The sequence below is a fragment of the Homo sapiens genome, chromosome 12 (genome assembly GCF_000001405.40).
Source record: "Homo sapiens chromosome 12, GRCh38.p14 Primary Assembly".
NCBI classification, from domain to species: domain Eukaryota; kingdom Metazoa; phylum Chordata; class Mammalia; order Primates; family Hominidae; genus Homo; species Homo sapiens.
The window spans coordinates 25,106,590-25,125,028 of NC_000012.12; the positions used below are offsets into that span (position 1 = coordinate 25,106,590).

Genomic DNA, 18,439 nt, shown 5'->3' on the forward strand with positions numbered 1-18,439 from the left:
AATAACATTGGTTAATGATGAGACTAACTTCTGAAAGTTCTTTTTAAATTTTCCCTTTTTGTATATACTTGGCTAATATTCTATTGTATATACTTGGCTAATATTCTAACTAACTTTCTACACATTTATTATTTTTCTAAATAGAAGAACTTATTTTTAATTAAATTTCTATAAAAGGTTTAAATTATAAATCTGGTGATTTGATTTTTAGAGTTAGATATTTATCGACTTTCCCTAAAACAGAACAAATATTTGTGAGCCTCTTGAGTTACAGTAAGATTCAGCAATATTTTATGAATAATTATAGCATATTATCCTTAGTTTCAAATATTAAAAACAACATTTATTTACAGAACTAAAGATGACTCAGAGCCATCTGGAGAAGAAACAGTAGAAAGGACAAGGAAGCCAAGTCTTTCTGAAAAGAAAAATAATCCATCAAAGTGGGATGTCTCTTCAGTGTAAGTTATCTACTTGATAAATTCTACCATTTTAGTGGAATGGGAAAGGGTGAGGCAGGGCTGACAGTATTAATCCTAATCAAATTACTAAAAGACATGCCAAATTGTTGTATTTAAGATGAATAACAAACTTTGTATGTCAGGTTATCCTTGAACCTATGTTATCTATTTTGAGAGACAGACTACATTCACATAACTTTTACTGTAATATATGTTATATTCTATTTTATGTTAGTTATTGTTCATCTTTTACTATGCCTAATTTATAAATTCAATTTTGTTATAGGCATGTATCCATAGGAAAAAAACAGTATATACTGGGTTTAGTACTATTTTCAGCTTCAGGCATCCACTGGAGGTCTTGGAGCATATCCCACAAGAATAAAGGGGGACTACTGTACACACACATAAGTACATACACAGACATCCACTCTACCCAGCAAATAACATTTTTGTTTCCACTGTAGGAATATGTTGCCTTACCTTACTGAAAGAATGAGATACTTGTATGTACTTATTAGAAGATACTGCCTACATCACGTAATTTTCAGATTCTCATCGTAGCACATCATTTCTTTAATCCTAATAGGTACAAAGGGTGGGAGGCAGATTGTTTCCAAAACCAAAATGATAAATCATAATATGTAGATTAAAAGGCAGTTTTGGGGGTATGAAGGGCAGATCACCTGACTGGTGGTGTTAGCAAAAGGAATGTTTCTAATGACAAATTACCGATTACCAAATTCTATTTGTGTTTTCCTTATAGTTATGACACAATAGCTTCCTGGGCAACAAATCTCAAGTCCTCCATCAGAAAGGCTAATAAGGCCCTCTGGCTCTCTATTGCATTCATTGTACTGTTTGCAGCTTTGATGAGCTTCCTCACAGGCCAATTATTCCAGAAGTCTGTGGATGCCGCTCCCACACAGCAAGAGGACTCATGGACGTCTCTAGAACATATCTTGTGGCCATTTACCAGACTCCGACACAATGGGCCACCACCAGTGTGACAGCAGGACATCCTAATATATGGATCTTGATTTTTAAGTTTCAGTATCTGAACTTCGTAAATTAGTAACTTTTAGCTGGGAAAGTATAGCATGAAACCAGAGGTTCTCAGAATGACTGTAAGATAGCTTACATTTCCTCTTTTTGCCTTTATCTCCCCAACTAAAATACAATGGGGAAGAAGTCTGCCTATGATCTTTGAATGAGCTTTTTAAGGAAGAAATATTATATATTGTTTGTTAAAGTTTATTGAAATAAAGAATCATTTAAATCTTCATAGAGTGAAAGCTGAAATTCTTAACAGGCCAAGTATTCAAAGGAAAAAAAAATACTGTTTTTAAAATAAAACTTGAGTAGAAAATGCAGATTAGAAAATTTTTAATAGTTGATTTGAAATGTATTCATTCACTCATTACATTGTGTTGCAGAAATACCTGTCTTTCACCATGCTTGGTTCTTCATACTTACAATACAGTTTGTAAGTGGAGGTTAGGAGTAGCTGAGCAATCTGGTAGAGAGCAGCATGTGGCACACAGAGTTGACAAACTGACAGTTGGAACTCCTGACTTTCTCCATTGCTTCCTCAGAAGCAAAATCCTTCACCATGTGATATAAAGTAGAATGAAACTCAGTTTCTTCTTTAAGTGCTTCAGAAAATGCCTCACTCTCTTCCTTGATCTTCAGTCTTTGTGCTCTGTCACCACTAAACATTAAAAGGGCCCAATTAGGATTCTCAGTACATGCTTCAGTAAGGTGTTCCCTCACCTAAAAAAAAAAAAAATTCAAGCAAGTTGTTAATAATTCCTCTTCTATTCAGTATTTTGGTAGCAGATTATTATTTGAAGGGCTCAATTTATCCCCCAAAATTGCAAAGGTTAAAAGAAACAGTCTATGTGTTCCATTACTGGGTTTTGAAAAACCATCACACTGTTTATATTTTGGTGATTATGGAGCTTATCCACATGTATTAATTCATGCAACAAATATTTATTGAGTGCCTATCATGTGTGAGGTACTGTTCTAAGTGCTGGGGATATAACAGAGAAAGAAAACACAGAAGAAATATAGACATACAACATATATAAATAACAACTGCAACAACAAAGCCCTGCCCTCAAGGGGCTTATATTTGAGTGGGGGAAACACACAATAAACAAGAGCAATAAATACAGTGGCTTGTTTAGGCCAAAATATTCATCAGCTTTTAGAATTTGATATGGTTACTACCACCTGATAACAAGAAGGTATCAGGAAGTTAAGTTGGAGGACTAACCCTCTCAGAGGAGAGGGGCTGTAAGTCACAGATATATTAATGTTAAAAGCCTCCATTTGTTGTTTTTTTTAAGAGATGGGGGTCTCACTCTGCTGTTCAGGCTCGGGTGCAGTGGTGTGATCATAGCTCACTTCAGCCTCAAATTCCTGGGCTCAAGCGATCCTTCCACCTCAGCCTCCCAAGTGGCTGGGATTACAGGTGGGAGCCACTGCACCCGGCAAGGCTTCCATTTGTTCTTGAGTCAATTTGTAAACAGATACAAGGACTCTGGCCTGGCTTGAAGTCAAGAGCTTGGACAACAAAGGCATAAACTTTATATAATTTAGATTTATATTTTTGACAAAAAATTTGAATTTTTTTTTTTGAGATGGAATTTTGCTCTTGTTGCCCAGGCTGGAGTGCAATGGCATGATTTTGGCTCACCACAACCTCCACCTCTCAGGTTCAAGCGATTCTCCTGCCTCAGCTTCCTGAGTAGCTGGGATTACAGGCATGCGCCACCACACTTGGCTAATTTTGTATTTTTGGTAGAAACGGGGTTTCACCATATTGGTCAGGCTGGTCTCGAACTCCTGACCTCAGGTGATCTGCCCACCTCAGCCTCCCATAGTGCTGGGATTACAGGAATGAGCCACCGTGCTTGGCCCAAAATTTGAAATTTTAAAATTCCGTATTGAATGTTAATTTTTTTAACTTTTCTAAGAGGGGAAGCCATGGTCTACATTCATTTAGTCTTTGAGTACTTTATCTTCTTTTGGAGGACAAAGTAGTTTTATGGGTTTCTACATATCATACCTTAAATACGACTTTTGTAGAATTACATAGTAGGTTCCACTTGCTCCAACCAAATGCAAAAGCAGAACTTAGTAGGGCCATCTGTCGATAAGCTTTCACTTCTACCAAAGGAACCTGTCAATATAAAAACAAATAGAATTGATCTTTGAGCCTCCCAACAAGTCTTCCTCCATCTTTGGCCTCCTTCAGTCTATTTTCAACACAGACGGATCCACTTAAAATTGTAAGTCAGAGTACATGACTCCTCTCTCAACACTGGGCAATGGCTTTCCTTTCTCTGAGAATAGAGTCCATAGTTAACAAACGACTTGCACGGCCCTCTGACATCCCTACTCCCGACTCCACATATACCCCATTACCTGCCGACCTCTTTTTCTTCTCCCTTTGCTCTCTCAGTTCCAGGCCCCATGGTTTCCATGGTGTCCCTCCAATCCTCCAGCACACCAAGCCACTCCCTCGGGGCTCTTGCTCCAGTTGTTTACCAGGAAGCTGCTTCCCCAGATGTGCACATGGCTAAAGTCCCCACCTTTGAGTTTCACTCAAGTGTTATCTCTCATTAAGCTGCCCTCCCTGACACCCTATTTAATATGGGTGTCATATGGCCTCAGCCTCACTATTCCGGATCTACCTTTTCTTTTTTTCCATAGCACTTTTCACCTTTTTAACATACTAATCATTTATTTTTTTAAATGTTTTCCTTCGACTGTGAAAGAAAACAAAGGTAAGGACCTTTGTTTCATTCATTGCTATATCCTAATCATCTAAAATAGTGCCTAGCACACAGTGTTCAGAAAAAAATATTTCCTGGAGTAGAATATTCTGAAAGCATGAGCAGAACACTACATTCAACAATGTAGAGTAACAGGCAATTTGAGTTACTAAAACCAAGGGTTTTTTTCCTATGCATATATGTACATACACTTATTTCTAAATATTATATAAATATCTACTTATATTGTCATTTTCTGATACATTCATAAATATTCTTGAGTACAGAACTCTTCTGCCTACAAATTCACTTTTCATGATTAGAAGTTACTTTGTGTCTTCATATATCACAAATGTTTACTAAGCATCTACTATATTCTAGGACTATGCTAGATGCTAGAAGAATCAATGTTCATTAAGAAATGACCCCCATCCTCAAGAAGCTCACAGTTTAACCTGGAAGGATCTTACTGAACTAAAGCCTTATGACGAACATGAAACAGTACACAGACATGGAGGCTTTGCCAAGAAACTAAAGGAAGTGGGTTTTGTACATTGGTGGTCCTTGTATTTTTAATTCTGCCTAACTTACCATGTTTGGGAAAGTGCAGTTATTTACTCTTTTAGGAAATCTCATATAATATCCAGTAATGCAAAAAGAAAGTATATAAAATGAGAATTGCTTAAACTACCTTTGCACTAAACTGACCGTCTGTGGATATGCTCCATTTGTCAATATGAAGATCGCACTACAGGCTTACTTTCTTAGGGAAAATTAAGAGAACCCTGGATTTCTGGTCTTTTCACTTATTTCTTTATAATACTGTATAAATGAATATATAAAATACAGTGTATATAATATTAAATTATATAACATTTAATAATTGCTAACATTTTAAATGCACGCCACATTAAATTTGGAAAGATTCATTCTTGCCTTATTGTTTATAATAACATAAAAATGAGAGTGTCTAGTAGGAAAGATATTCAGTCCAGCTTCTTTCAAAGCAATAATGAAAGGAATAGGAGTCATCCAGGTTCCTTCCAAAATAGAGATGTGTTTCTTGTCTTTTAGTTTGATTGAAGATAACATGCAGAGGTTTTCCTAGTTTAAATAAGAAAAAAGAAGCTTTTATGTAAGTTAAATCATTACTTCAGTATCACTCCAGGTGCAGCCTTTAGATGCTTTATACATTTTTAAAAGTCATCTATCACTCTATATTAGAAAGAATGCAGGGCAAGTATATCTTAAGCCTCATCTGAATGCTCTGACACAAAGTCCCCATGTTATGTTAAGCAGTTTACTAACTCTTTTTGGGCTTCATCAGAACATTCAAAGAATGGACTATAGCATCTCTCAAGCCTCCTATTTTAGAAATTGTAATATAAGAATATGCATATGTTCACACTGAATTAAAATAGTTATTAGATAACAATTATGATTATACTTTTAGGGATCATTCTTTTCACATCCGTAAAAGTTAACATAATGAGGCAATATTATTATCCAGTTTTAAAGTCTTGCGCGAAGTGACAGTTTGAAGGTGTATAGAATTCACATCTGGTTTTTTTTTTTTTTTTTTTTTTTTTGAGACGGAGTCTCCCTCTGTCGCCCAGGCTGGAGTGCAGTGGTGTGATCTTGGCTCACTGCAAGCTCTGCCTCCCAGGTTCACACCATTCTCCTGCTTCAGCCTCCCTAGTAGCTGGGACTACAGGCGCCCACCACCACACCCGGCTAATTTTTTGTATTTTTAGTAGAGACAGGGTTTCACCGTGTTAGCCAGGATGGTCTCGATCTCCTGACCTTGTGATCTGCCCACCTCGGCCTCCTAAAGCGCTGGGATTACAGGCGTGAGCCACCACACCTAGCCTACACATCTGTTTTTTTTTTAATGTTAATAATATATTTCATTTAACCCAATATATCTAAAATATTTCAATATGTAATCAGTATAGAAATTATTGAGAGTTTACATTTTTTTCTTCATACCAAGAACTCAAAATTTGTGTTAATTTTACAGTTAGAGCATGTGCTAATTTGGACTAGTCACATGCAGTAGCTATATACGGCTGGTAGCTACCACATTAGACAGCACAGATCTACTAACCTGAAAACGCACACTGAACAGTCTTGGGTGTTTCAATCGTCATATTAATAAGTGAACTTTGTGAAGATGCTTGTATTTTTCCATGAGTCTAGAGGAAGAATCTCTGCACAAGGGTCGTCAGGGCTGCTGGAATGGTGCAGGGAAGCCTGAAAGGAGGCTCCAGCAATACAATCCCCTTACACAATCTCAGAAAGGTCACATAACCTCCTAACCTCTATGGGCCTTAGTTTCTCTCTATATACAACAGGAGGGTAGACCAGAAGCATTTTAAGGGCACTTGCACACTAATAATTCTACGGCACTCCATCTCCCATCTCACCTAGTTTGTTGTTGTTGCTGTTGTTGTTGTTGTTGTTGTTGTTGTTGTTGTTGTTTTTGAGATGGAGTCTTGCTCTGTCGCCCAGGCTGGAGTGCAGTGGCACAATCTTGGCTCACTGCAACCTCCGCCTCCCGGGTTCAAGCGATTCTTCCGCCTCGGCCTCCTGAGTAGCTAAGACTACAGGCGTGTGCCACCATGCCTGGCTAATTTTTGTATTATTAGTAGAGATGGGGTTTCACCATATTGGCCAGGCTGGTCTCAAACTCCTGACCTCACGATCCACCCACTTCAGCCTCCCAAAGTGCTAGGATTACAGGCGTGAGCCACCGCTCCCAGCCCTCATCTAGTTTTAAAAGCAAAGTTTAATAATATTCTAGGCTTTCTGTACTCATGATGAATTCCAGGCTATCTCTGTTTTTAAAAACAACTTTTTAAGATATATTTTACATATCATAAAATTCACCTATTTCAAGTGTATAATTCAATGATTTTTAGTAACTTTACAGACTGGTACAACTATCCCCATAAATCCATTTTAGATCATTTTCATCCCTCCCAATAAGATTCCTCATGCTCATTTACAGTTAATCCCCACCCACTCTCAGCCCCAGGCAACCACTAATCTACTTTTGTCTCCAAACATTACAGGCTATGTAATTTCTTTCTTTCTTTCTGGGTTTTTTTTTTTTTTTTTTTTTTTTTGAGACAGAGTTTCACTCTGTTGCCCAGGCTGGAGTGCAGTGGTACGATCTCGGCTCATGGCAACCTCCCCTTCCCAGGTTCAAGCGATTCTTTTGCCTCAGCCTCCTGAGTAGCTGGGATTACAGGTGTGTGCCACCACGCCTGGCTAATTTTTGTATTTTTAGTAGGGCTTCACCATGTTGGCCAGGCTGGTCTCGAACTGCTGACCTCAGGTGATTGCCCGCCTTGGCCTCCCAAAGTGCTGGGATTCCAGGCGTGAGCCACTGCGCTCGGCCCAGGCTATGTAATTTCTGACTGATGAGCAATAGGGGATCATTCAGAGAGAAACCAACCTCAAAAAGGATTTCAAATGGCTGGATGATAAACATCACGTAGCCCCTTTAGGGTGGATCAAAAACTCTGAAATTCATACTGCAATGAGGGTTGTTGGTTCATCAGTTGATCTATCCCTAGTAACTTTAGGGTACAAATTTAAGTTTGAGCCTTGCTATTTACATGTTATTGCCTATTTAATTATTCAACTAATATTTCATTTAGAAATATAGCTCAAGGTACATTTTTAAGGTCATTATAAGACACTTATATTTCAATATATAAATCAGCAGCCACTGATTGCTTTTGACAAACTAGTATTCCATCAAAATGGTTTACCTCTGATACGATAGTACATAACAGCTACAAGAGTAACTCACCTTAATTTGTATTTGAATCTCAGTAAATACTGTAGTCACAGTTAAAAGTACTTTATTTACATCAAGTGGTCTTAGTTCCCATGACTGGTACGGCATGTTAATATGAGCATCTTGAATCAAGGTAACAGGGCCAAAGGTGTCCAGGCTGAATGTTACAAGTCTTTCTTTTGGTTTGTAGGATACATTGCTGATGCCATCAGTTCTCCAATGTTTACCTTTATAATTGATGAAGAAAGTGACACTAGTTTCATTTTTTCCCTATTAAAAAAAGATAAATGAAAGCACCAAAAAAATTGCTTTGTGTATAAATTGATCTTTCATATTTAGAATAGAAACTCAAAAGAAGGCCAGCTTCGCTGAGAGATTTCCCCTGACTACAGGATCAAGTCCCACCTCCTCAGCATGGTAAGACCTTCAGAATGAAGCTTTGACTCACTTTCTTGGCTCCATCCCTTGCCACTCCTCAAGGGAAAAAGTTTTTCTCTTTTCAGCCCCACTTTTTTCTTTCCCTAACAACACTGTATGTATACCTCTGGGCCTCAGCACATACAGTTCTTTCCTCCTACAATACTGTTCCCTAATCTTTCAGAGAAACTCTCTTCAGCTTTGCTTTAAAATGACTTCAAAATTCATGTATTTTTTGTATACAATTCAATTATCTTTAATTTACCCAGTTGTGCAACCATCACCACAATCCAGTTTTAGAACATTTTTATCCCCTCAGTAAGATCCTTATGTCCATTTACAGTTAATTCCCATTCCCACCTCCAGCCCCAGGCAACGATTAATGTACTTCCTGTAGGTGGTCTTTTGTATCTCTTACAACTCAATAATAAAACACAACCTAATTTAAAAGTGGGTAAATGATTTGAATAAACATTTCACCAAAGAGATATGAAAGGCTAATAAGTACTTAAAAAGATGATCAACATTATTAGTAATTAGGGAAATAAATTAAAACTACAATGGAATACTACTTCACACCCACTAGAATGGCTATCATCAAAAAGATAAATAACAAATGTTATGAACAAACAGAAAACCTCATATAGTGCTGGCAGACATGTAAAATGGTACGGCTACTTTGAAAAACAATTTGGCAGTTTCTTTGAAAGTTAAATATAAACTCAGCACTCAACCCAGCAATTCCACTCTTAGGTACATACTGAACTGAAAACATGTCCACACAGAGACTTGCATGCAAACATTCTCTTCATCTTTGAGGGACCTGTTCAACATTCCAACCTGTGAGAAGCCTTCCAATACTCTAAAGATTGAGCCATCTGTGTCGTGCTCTATAGCACTTTACATCTATGCTAGCACCCTACTATGTTGTATCACAATGTGGTGTTTACCCATCTGCCCCTCCTACAACTTTTGAAACTCCAAGAGGAAGAAACTATGCCTCATTTATCTCTGTATTTCTTTCTTTTTTTTTTTTTTTGGTTGGGGGGAGGGGTCATCTTTATAGGACAAATAAATGAACCATTTTCTTCCCAGACGTGCTCTCCATTTCTACTTAGCTCTCTTTCCTGCTCTCGATTGGAGGGTTCTGTTGACAAGTTTTTACTCTTAAATTTCATATAATAAATAAAATTACATTCACAAACTTATTTTTAATTCCTCTTTTTGTCGCTACATTAACAAATAATTTTAATTTATAAGGTAAAAAGTTATTACCTATAAATAAATTCTCCAAATTTCTAGTAGTTCCGGGCAAAATGTTTCCCCATGGTTTAAAAATTACTAGAATTGTAAATTACTGCTTTCTAATTACTGAAGTTGTAGAGTGAAATTATTCCCCTGAATTGTGTGGAATAATTTACCTTGTCTAATTCTAATTTCATGTGAATAATTTTTTTTTTCAGAGTTTCACTCTTGTCACCCAGGCTGGAGTAAAATGGTGCGATCTCAGCTCGCTACACCCTCCGCCTCCCAGGTTCAAGCAATTTTCCTGCCTCGGCCTCCTGAATAGCTAGCATTACAGGCACGTGACACCACGCCTGGCTAATTTTTTTAAGTAGAGACAGGGTTTCGCCATGTTGGCCAGGCTGGTCTCGAACTCCTGACCTCAGGTGTTCCGCCTGCCTCAGCCTCCCAAAGCGCTAGGATTACAAACATGAGCTACCATGCCCAGCTGTGTTAATAATTTTTAATGTGATAAATACTTAGGAATATTACCATTAAAGTGACACCTCTGAAACAATATCAAAAGAGATACAGTTGTTCATGTTGATGTATTTTATAGTTTAATATGTAAGAATTTACTAGGTTTTTTAACTTATTTTTTATTTTTTGAGACAGGGTCTCACTCTGTCACCCACCCTGAGTGCTGGGGCATGATCACAGCTCACTGCAGCCTCAACCTGCTGGGCTCAAACAATGCTCCCACCTCAGCTTCTGGGGTAGCTGGGACTACAGGCATATGCCACCACGCCTGGCTAATTTTTGTACTTTTTGTGGAGATGGTGTTTCTCCATGTTGCCCAGGCTGGTCTTGAACTCCTGAGCTCAAGTAATCCACCCACCTCAGCCTCCCAAAGTGCTGGGATTACAGGCATGAGCCACTGCGACCGGCCTACTGTTTTTAATACATAGACTATTTCTAGAATATAAATAATACATCTTGTAGGTCTGTCTATACAAACAAAAATGTAGAGCACCAGGGCATTCATTAAAAAATTTAAAATACAAAATATTTAAACTTCTTGGTATAAATTCCTAAATTCTCTGTTCCTAAATTTTCCATAACTAAATAAGTAGATTATGTAAAAGCTCTGTGCCTTAGTGATATTTGTTCCCAGCCTATCACCAAGTATATAAATCCCTTCACCAACAGATGGATATAAAACAACCTTAAAAACAAAGGTGTACTCCTCTCATCTAGGATCCTTAAAATGGCATACATTAACTCACCAGACCAAGATTTTTCAAAATTCAGCAAGCCTACTCCAAAAGAGGTATTTGTTAATGATTAACAAATCATTAGCTTGTATCACTGTAGATACTTATAATTTTATTAATATTTAAGTTTTGAATAAGCAATAATGTCCCATGGCTCAAAAATAAAAAGGTATAAAAAGGTATACAAGTGGCTAGTTTTCCCTTTCTCAGGTTTCCCATTTGCCCATTCCTCATCCCCAATACTTGTGTACAATTTATAAACGATTAACATTAAAGTAATCAAATACTAATTATCCAAATCCAAACTATTTGGTTATTTCAGAAGAGTAGACTTTTTATCTGTTTTTGATTTGCTAAACTATTTTGATATTTTCTTTTTCTTTTTTTTTTTTTTTTTGAGACGGAGGGAGTCTCGCTCTGCCTGGAGTGCAGTGGCGCAATCTCGGCTCACTGCAACCTCCACCTCCCAGGTTCAAGCAATTCTCCTGCCTCAGCCTCCCAAGTAGCTGGGACTACAGGCATGTGCCACCATGCCCCATTAGTTTTTGTATTTTTAGTAGAGATGGGGTTTCACTATGTTGGCCAGGCTCTCTCGAACTCCTGACCTCAGGTGATACGCCCGCCTTGGCACTCCAAAGTGCTGGGATTACAGGCGTGAGCCACAGCGCCTGGCCTGATTTTAATATTTTCATTCATTTTTGCCTGTTTGTTTTGTTTTGTTTTGAGACACAGTCTTGCTCTGTGGCCCAGACTGGAGTACAGTGGCGCCATCTTGGCTCACTGCAACCTCTGCCTCCTGGGATCAAGCTATTCTCCTGCCTCAGCCTGCGGAGTAGCTGGGATTACAGGTGTGTGCCACCACGCCCCGCTCATTTTCTATTTTTAGTAGAGATGAGATTTCACCATGTTGGCCAGGCTAATGTCAAACTCCTGACCTCAGGTGATCCATCTGCCTCGGCCTCCCAAAGTGCTGAGATTGCAGGCATGAGCCACCACGCCTGGCCTGTTTGTTTTTTTGAGACAGACAGAGTCTCACTCTGTCGCCCAGGATGGAGTGCAGTGGCACCATTTCAGTTCATGGCAACCTCCACCTCCCGGGTTCAGGCGATTCTCATGCCTCAGACTCCCAAGTAGCTGGGATTACAGGTGCACACCATCACGCCCAGCTAATTTTTGTAATGTTTTAGTAGAGAGGTGGGGTTTCACCATGTTGCCCAGGCTGGTCTTAAACTCCTGAGCTCAGGTGATCTGCCCACCTCAGCCTCCCAAAGTGCTGGGATTTACAGGCATGAGCCATCGTGCCCAGTGTTTCACTCGTTTTTTAGAAACATAATGATATAACCATAAAGTAATTGTTCATAGACAATGGCAGATACAGATACTTTAGGAGTTAATAGTTACAACACTCAGCAAATTTTAAACTCCAACACTTATTCATTTCCATTAAGAACAAACAAAACAAGACCCTTGAATTGGCATAGAAATATGTAAGATAGTAAGCTCAGTTAATACACTACACTTTCTGTTTCAACTTAAGGGTTTTTATGATTATCCCTCCTTTTATTACATAATTATAAAAGCTGTACCTTCAGCATCCCACCTTACAACCACAGGATCCTCAAAAAAGATTACATTCTCATGAACCTCAAGTGTGACCTCTATAGGTGGGAAAGCATTTTCTGTCTCAAACTCTTCTGTAGTTTCCGGAGGATATGTGTATTTCTGTAATCCTTCTTTGAGTATCTTTTTAAAATGACCAAAACAACATCAAGTTAGTTGACTGGTAGCAGTGAAAAATGTAAATAGTACTGAATAAGTTATATAGTTATTTTTAATAAGCACTGCAGTTTGATCCTATTTATATATAGATTAACAAAATGTCACAACAAAATTTAAAAGATACATGATTGAGAAAAAAAGTTACTAAATATGAATGTACAGAACTTCCTATGGGCCAGATTGTGTGGTGGGGCTTCCTCAACATTTTATTCCTCTAAGCAATCCTAAAGGCCTATATTTAACAGAAATGATAACTAAGACTTAGAAAAATCAAGTAATTTGACAAAGATTACAAAATGACTTCAAAGTGGCACCAGAACTCAAAAACCGGTGTATGGGACCCTAAATCACATGCTCTAATACCATGCTAAGGGTGTGTAGGTAAAGAGAAAAAGAAACATATAGACAACCTATTGAGAAGAAAGGAAATGAATGAATGAAAGTGAATTAACCAGACAGCAGATTTTTCTGGGATAAGGAAGATTTGTGCATTATCTGAATGCAGCAGACAAGGATCTAGGGAAGGAAGAAAGATTTAAAAATATTAGAAAATAGAGGAAAAATTAGGGCAAGATTCTAGAAGAGGTGGAAAGTTATTGAAAAAGCCTTGAAAATGAGGAAAGCCTCTTTGTTGCAGGAGAGAAAAACAGCTGTGAAGGAGGACTCTTTGGGTTCAAGGGGAGAGCATGAAGTGGTCTCAGGACACTGTGACAAAAGTCAATAACAACAGATCTTTAGATGGATTCTTGAAAACCCCAGCTCAGGCTGGGACCTTATGGATAAAGAGAATATTAAAATTTTGTTGGAGTGGCAGGTGATTAGGAAAATAACGGGGGAGAAAAGGTTGGGAAATACTTCTCAAAAACAAGAATGCACCAAGGTCCTTAATGGATAGGACTGTGGGTGAGAAGTACCCAGCAATCTGTGTACAGGTGTGTTAGGGGAGAGAGGGTGAGAAGAGAGAGAGAGGCAGGAAGAGGGAGAGAGAGAGAGAGAGAGAGAGAGGAAGGAAGGGGCAGCCTATGACAACATAACTGGGTATATATGGTAGTATTCTATGGGAAGCAAGCCACCACGAGGTTAAGTTAAAAATAAACCAAGTCGGCCGGGCGCGGTGGCTCACGCCTGTAATCCCAGCACTTTGGGAGGCCGAGGCGGGCGGATCACGAGGTCAGGAAATCGAGACCATCCTGGCTAACACGGTGAAACCCCGTCTCTACTAAAAATACAAAAAAAAAATTAGCCGGGCGTGGTAGCGGGCGCCTGTAGTCCCAGCTACCGGGAGGCTGAGGCAGGAGAATGGCGTGAACCCGGGAGGCGGAGCTTGCAGTGAGCCAAGACAGCGCCACTGCACTCCAGCCTGGGCGAAAGAGCGAGACTCCGTCTCAAAAAAAATAAAAATAAAAAAAATAAATAAACCAAGTCAATAATAGCGCAAGTGTTACTACTTATAAAACAGGGGTGAGAAACTCCTTGAAAGATGATCTAACAACTATTATCACCAAAGTGTGGTCAGGGCATCAGCAGCATTGGCATCATGTGGACTGGTGATTTTCAAACTTCAATATGCATAGGAGTTACCTGGGGATCTTGTTCCACTGCAGATTCCGTAGCTCTGAGGTGCAGCCCAAAATTATGCATTTCTTGCATGTTCCCAACTGACACTAATGCTGCTGGTTCAATGCTGTTGATTTAGGACCATATTTTGTATGTCAAGGATTCAGACTAGTGATTTCCAAACTTTAGGGTGTATTTTTCCAAAACAGATTGTTGAGCCTTACCTCCAGGGTTTCGGATTCAGTAAGTTTGAGGTGGGGCTCATTAATTTGCATTTCTAGCAAATTCCCAGATGATGCCAGAGGATGCTGATGCCTCTGCTCGAGGGAACACATATTAACAACCACTGATTTAGACTGGAGTCCATAAACTACGGTCCCTGGGAAATCCCACTCACCACCAATTTTTGTAAATAAAGTTTTATTGGAACATAGCTGTGCCCATTCGTTTATACACAGCAGTTTTAGTGCTGCAATGGCTGAGTTGAGTAGCTGCATCAGAGCTAGTAGGGACCGCGAAGGTGAAAATATTTACCATCTGGCCTGTTACAGAAAAAGTTTGCCAACCTCTGATCTAGAATATTATTATTAAGACCAAATTGGCACTAACAAAACATAATGATGTAAATTTACAATGAAGTTAACATATCTGAATTCTAGTACAAACGTCATATTATTTTAGATTCTTTTAGCATCTGATTCAAATTTTCAATACCAATACATTTAAGACAGTTTAAAATTACATTTTTTCCTTTGTGTTTAATAAGGTTAAAGCTTATTAGATGTTAGATAATATGAAATAAAGTAAAAGCGTGAGCAATTATTTTACTTATAAGTTTTGATTCAAGAATCAACCTACTTCCACAATCATCCATCCCTTCACTGGTTTACACTGTGGAGGAAGCTCCAAAATATCCAAGTGGTATACTCCACCCAGAGTTGTGAACTGGCATAAATCCACCACATTGTCTTCAAAGAAATCTGGCTTTTCAGAAGAATTCTCTACCAGCAACAACTGTGCTAAAATTAATCAGATTAACAGTTTTCAAATAGATTACAGTTTAGTATGTTCTTAGGAAAGAAATTTAAAAATTCTCATACTGGTAAAGGAAGTTTCTATTCAACCAGCTACTAAAACTTTTCAAAAAGCAGTTAACTCAAAATGATTCATAGAGCTGACCTTGGAAGTGGAAACAGGCATGAGTAATGGTGGGGTATAGGGGAGGACATAATTTTTATTTCATCTATGAAACCATACAATAAGCATGTGTTATTATTAAAATGAAAACAGGCTGGGGGCAGTGATTCATGCCCACTACTTTGCGAGGCTGAGGTGGGAGAATCGCTTGAGCCTAGGAGTTTAAAACGAGTCTGGGCAACATAGCAAGACCCCATCTCTATAAATAATTTAAAAATTAGCTAGCCTGGTGGTGCATGCCTGTGGTCCCAGCTACTCAGCAGGCTGAGGTAGGAGAATTACTGGAGCCTGGGCAGTTGAGGCTGCAGTGAGCCATAATCTGCACCACTACTGGGCAATAGAGCAAGATCTCATCTCAAAAAAAAAAAAAAAAAAAAGAAGGAGAAGAAGAAGAAGAAAGAAAAAGTGAAGTTTAAGGCCTGTTATGAAAAAATATGCTAAGAAATATATAGAAAATAGATTCCTAGAAGTTATGGGGAAAGAAGCATAAAGTTAACAGAAAAGATGTATATAAATCTCAAACTAAAAGATTGACAAATTAGACATCGCTATTGCCTTGACACTTCTAAACTATATCCAACTGCTATTTGCCAGGACAAGACTGAATGCAAACACTTGTTAATACCCAGAAGTGTTGCGAGATTTTCAGTTGTGTATGTGTACTTGTGAAAGTTCATTACAATATTGTAGTAATACAAAATTAGAAACAACCTGCCTATCAATAGGGATTTAAAAAGTGTTCCATTATTGGATGGAATTATACAACTACTTCAAAAAGTGAGGTTACCAATGTATTCTTAGAATAATGTTGAATATTCATTTACATGAAATATATATTGTGTTCTATGTATGTAACACGTTGTTAGGTGGGAAAAAAGTAATTCTCAACAAAAACATTTGTATAATATAATCCCATGGTTTTATTAGAAATTAAGAGAGACAGGGATAAATTGAGCAAAGAAATCTGTTAACACTGGTATCTCAGAAAAGGGACTATGAAGAATTTTCACTTTAAATATATTTTTGCAATGTCTGAATTTTTTTAACAATGATCCTGTATTTCTTCTGTAAGAAGAAAATCTCAATAAAGTTAAATTCTTAAAATGTAATTTAGAATACCTGCTGAAACAGTTTCACTTAATACTTTCATCTCTCGTTCACATTTTATGGCTTCAGATTCTTCCTCAGCAGAACTCTATAAAAAACCACAGACATATGGGTGTGATTGTCAGTGTCTACATAGTACAGTCATTGTCTTTGTGTTCCAGTCCTCACTTCAGATGCCTGCTACCTTAATTCTAGGCTGAAAACCCCAAACTGATACTTGCTCTACCATAAAACTGGACTCAAAAGCAATATTTTAACAAGCAATTAAAATATCTACAAAACTTCACAAGGGCAAGAGGTTACCCTGCTCAGATTCTCTGCTGAAAATCCTCAAGTGTAAAAGATGGAGATTAGGAAGCAATGCAAGCTATAAAAAATATTATTTATATTTGCATTTTGGTTTATCCAGGAGGTAGATTTTGCTTAAATTTGATAATCAGCTCTGGTAGAGTCATCCCAAAGCCTGCTTTTGGGTAAGTCTCTCAAGGAAATTAAAGATGTTGCAGCTCAAGTAATGTAGAAGATAGTATCCCATTGTACTCTAGTGCAGTAAAAATAATCTAGACTTTATGTCTAAATCTGCCACTAACTTACCTTTCTGACCTTGAGCAAGTCATTTAACTATTATGAGCCTCAAATTCCTGATGTAACAATAACACATTTGGTATTTAACTGTGTATCAGACATATAACACATCTTGCAAACAATCCGAAGAAATAAGGAAACTGAAGCTGAGGGAGATAACTGTTTTAAGGGTCAAATAAGATAATGGAAATAAAAGAACTTTGGGTAATGTAAAGCACTAGATAAATGCAGTGTTGCTAGTATAAAAATTGTGTGTGTGTGTGTGTGTGTGTGTGTGTGCTAATACTTGCAAATTGAATGACATCCAGCAAACTTCACTTGACTTCAGGTAGCACCTGTACTTCTGCAGCAATAGAATAACCTTATACCAGAGTTCTAGTCAGAAATTTAAAGCTAGTTATTCCCATGACTCTTACCCATCATACACAGACAAGTCCCCCTTAGTAGACTAGCCTTTCCCATCTCTCATCACCATATTGCCCTATGTGTCTTCCCCCTGACCAGCTTTAACACTATTACATTCTCTGCAAACCCTTTCCATCATGCCTCTGAACCTTCTCCCTTATTTATTCATTCAAAAAAAAAATTACAGAGCTCCTAAATAGTAGTGGCATTGCTAGACACTGGCAATAAAAAACAAGGTCCCTGACATAAGGAACTTCCAGACTATTAGGGAAGCAAGTAAACAAATGGGTATATTTTTGTAAGTGTTGTAGTATAAAGTAAAGGAGCCACAATAGGAGTACAAGGAAGAGGAGTTAATTCTGTGGGAAAATGTGTGGGTGAAGACAGGCAACACCTCTCTTACCTAAAGGTAGTAAGTTTGAACTAAATTTTTTTTTAACTTTTATTTTAGGTTTGAGGGTGCATGTGAAGGCTTGTTGTACAGGCAAACTCAGGTCACAGGGGTTTGTTGTACAGATTATCTCATCACCTAGGTATGAAGCCTAGTACCCAATAGTTATTTTTCTGCTCCTTGCTCTCCTCCCACCCTCTACTCCTAAGTAGGCCCCAGTGTCTGCCATTCTCTTCTTTGTGTTCATCAGTTCTCATCATTTAGCTCCCACTTACAAGTGAGAATATGTAGCATTTGGTTTTATGTTCCTGCATTAGTTTGCTAAGGATAATAGCCTTCAGCTCCACCCACGTTCCTGCAAAAGACACGATCTCATTCTTTCTTATGGCTGCATAGTATTCCATGGTGGGTATGTACATTTTCTTTATCCAATCTGTCACTGATGGGCA

The 18,439-nt window shown here is 38.1% G+C and overlaps 2 protein-coding genes across 51 annotated transcripts in view, besides 1 other annotated feature; one reads left to right on the top strand and one right to left on the bottom strand.

Moving 5' to 3' along the window:
• IRAG2 (inositol 1,4,5-triphosphate receptor associated 2) overlaps nucleotides 1-1,746 on the top strand; it is a 110,761-nt gene extending 109,015 nt beyond the window's left edge. For 20 of the 21 annotated variants that reach the window (NR_159368.2, NR_159369.2, NR_159367.2 and 17 more), the window contains 2 exons: nucleotides 354-461; nucleotides 1,228-1,746. Coding sequence is in view for 17 of the 21 variants with exons in the window: in NM_001394803.1 (NP_001381732.1) it covers nucleotides 354-461; nucleotides 1,228-1,471 (352 nt within the window). In the remaining 4 variants the exon portion in view is untranslated. The remainder of the gene's footprint in view (nucleotides 1-353; nucleotides 462-1,227) is intronic. The other variant, NM_001366548.2, reaches the window with a different exon arrangement.
• The window catches only part of DNAI7 (dynein axonemal intermediate chain 7), an 88,114-nt gene continuing 70,132 nt past the window's right edge, over nucleotides 458-18,439 (bottom strand). For 11 of the 30 annotated variants that reach the window (NM_001204101.3, NM_001352061.2, NM_001352065.2 and 8 more), the window contains 7 exons: nucleotides 16,622-16,697; nucleotides 15,164-15,324; nucleotides 12,556-12,712; nucleotides 8,067-8,281; nucleotides 5,183-5,350; nucleotides 3,538-3,651; nucleotides 1,700-2,234 (listed from right to left, as the gene is read on the bottom strand). In NM_001204101.3, coding sequence (NP_001191030.2) covers nucleotides 1,959-2,234; nucleotides 3,538-3,651; nucleotides 5,183-5,350; nucleotides 8,067-8,281; nucleotides 12,556-12,712; nucleotides 15,164-15,324; nucleotides 16,622-16,697 — 1,167 coding nt within the window. In that variant the 3' untranslated portion in view covers nucleotides 1,700-1,958. Of the gene's footprint in view, nucleotides 1,044-1,699; nucleotides 2,235-3,537; nucleotides 3,652-5,182; nucleotides 5,351-8,065; nucleotides 8,325-12,555; nucleotides 12,713-15,163; nucleotides 15,325-16,621; nucleotides 16,698-18,439 lie in introns of those variants that run through there. The other 19 variants (NR_147910.2, NM_001352067.2, NM_001352064.2 and 16 more) reach the window with 9 other exon arrangements.
• Nucleotides 12,689-12,858: an enhancer, noted in NCBI's record as "experimental_26664 CRE fragment used in MPRA reporter constructs". NCBI's record gives its function as "activates a minimal promoter by MPRAs in K562 erythroleukemia cells, with activity observed for both the introgressed and non-introgressed 12:25272297 variant alleles {active_cell/tissue: K562}" and the evidence as "EXISTENCE:reporter gene assay evidence [ECO:0000049][PMID:34662402]".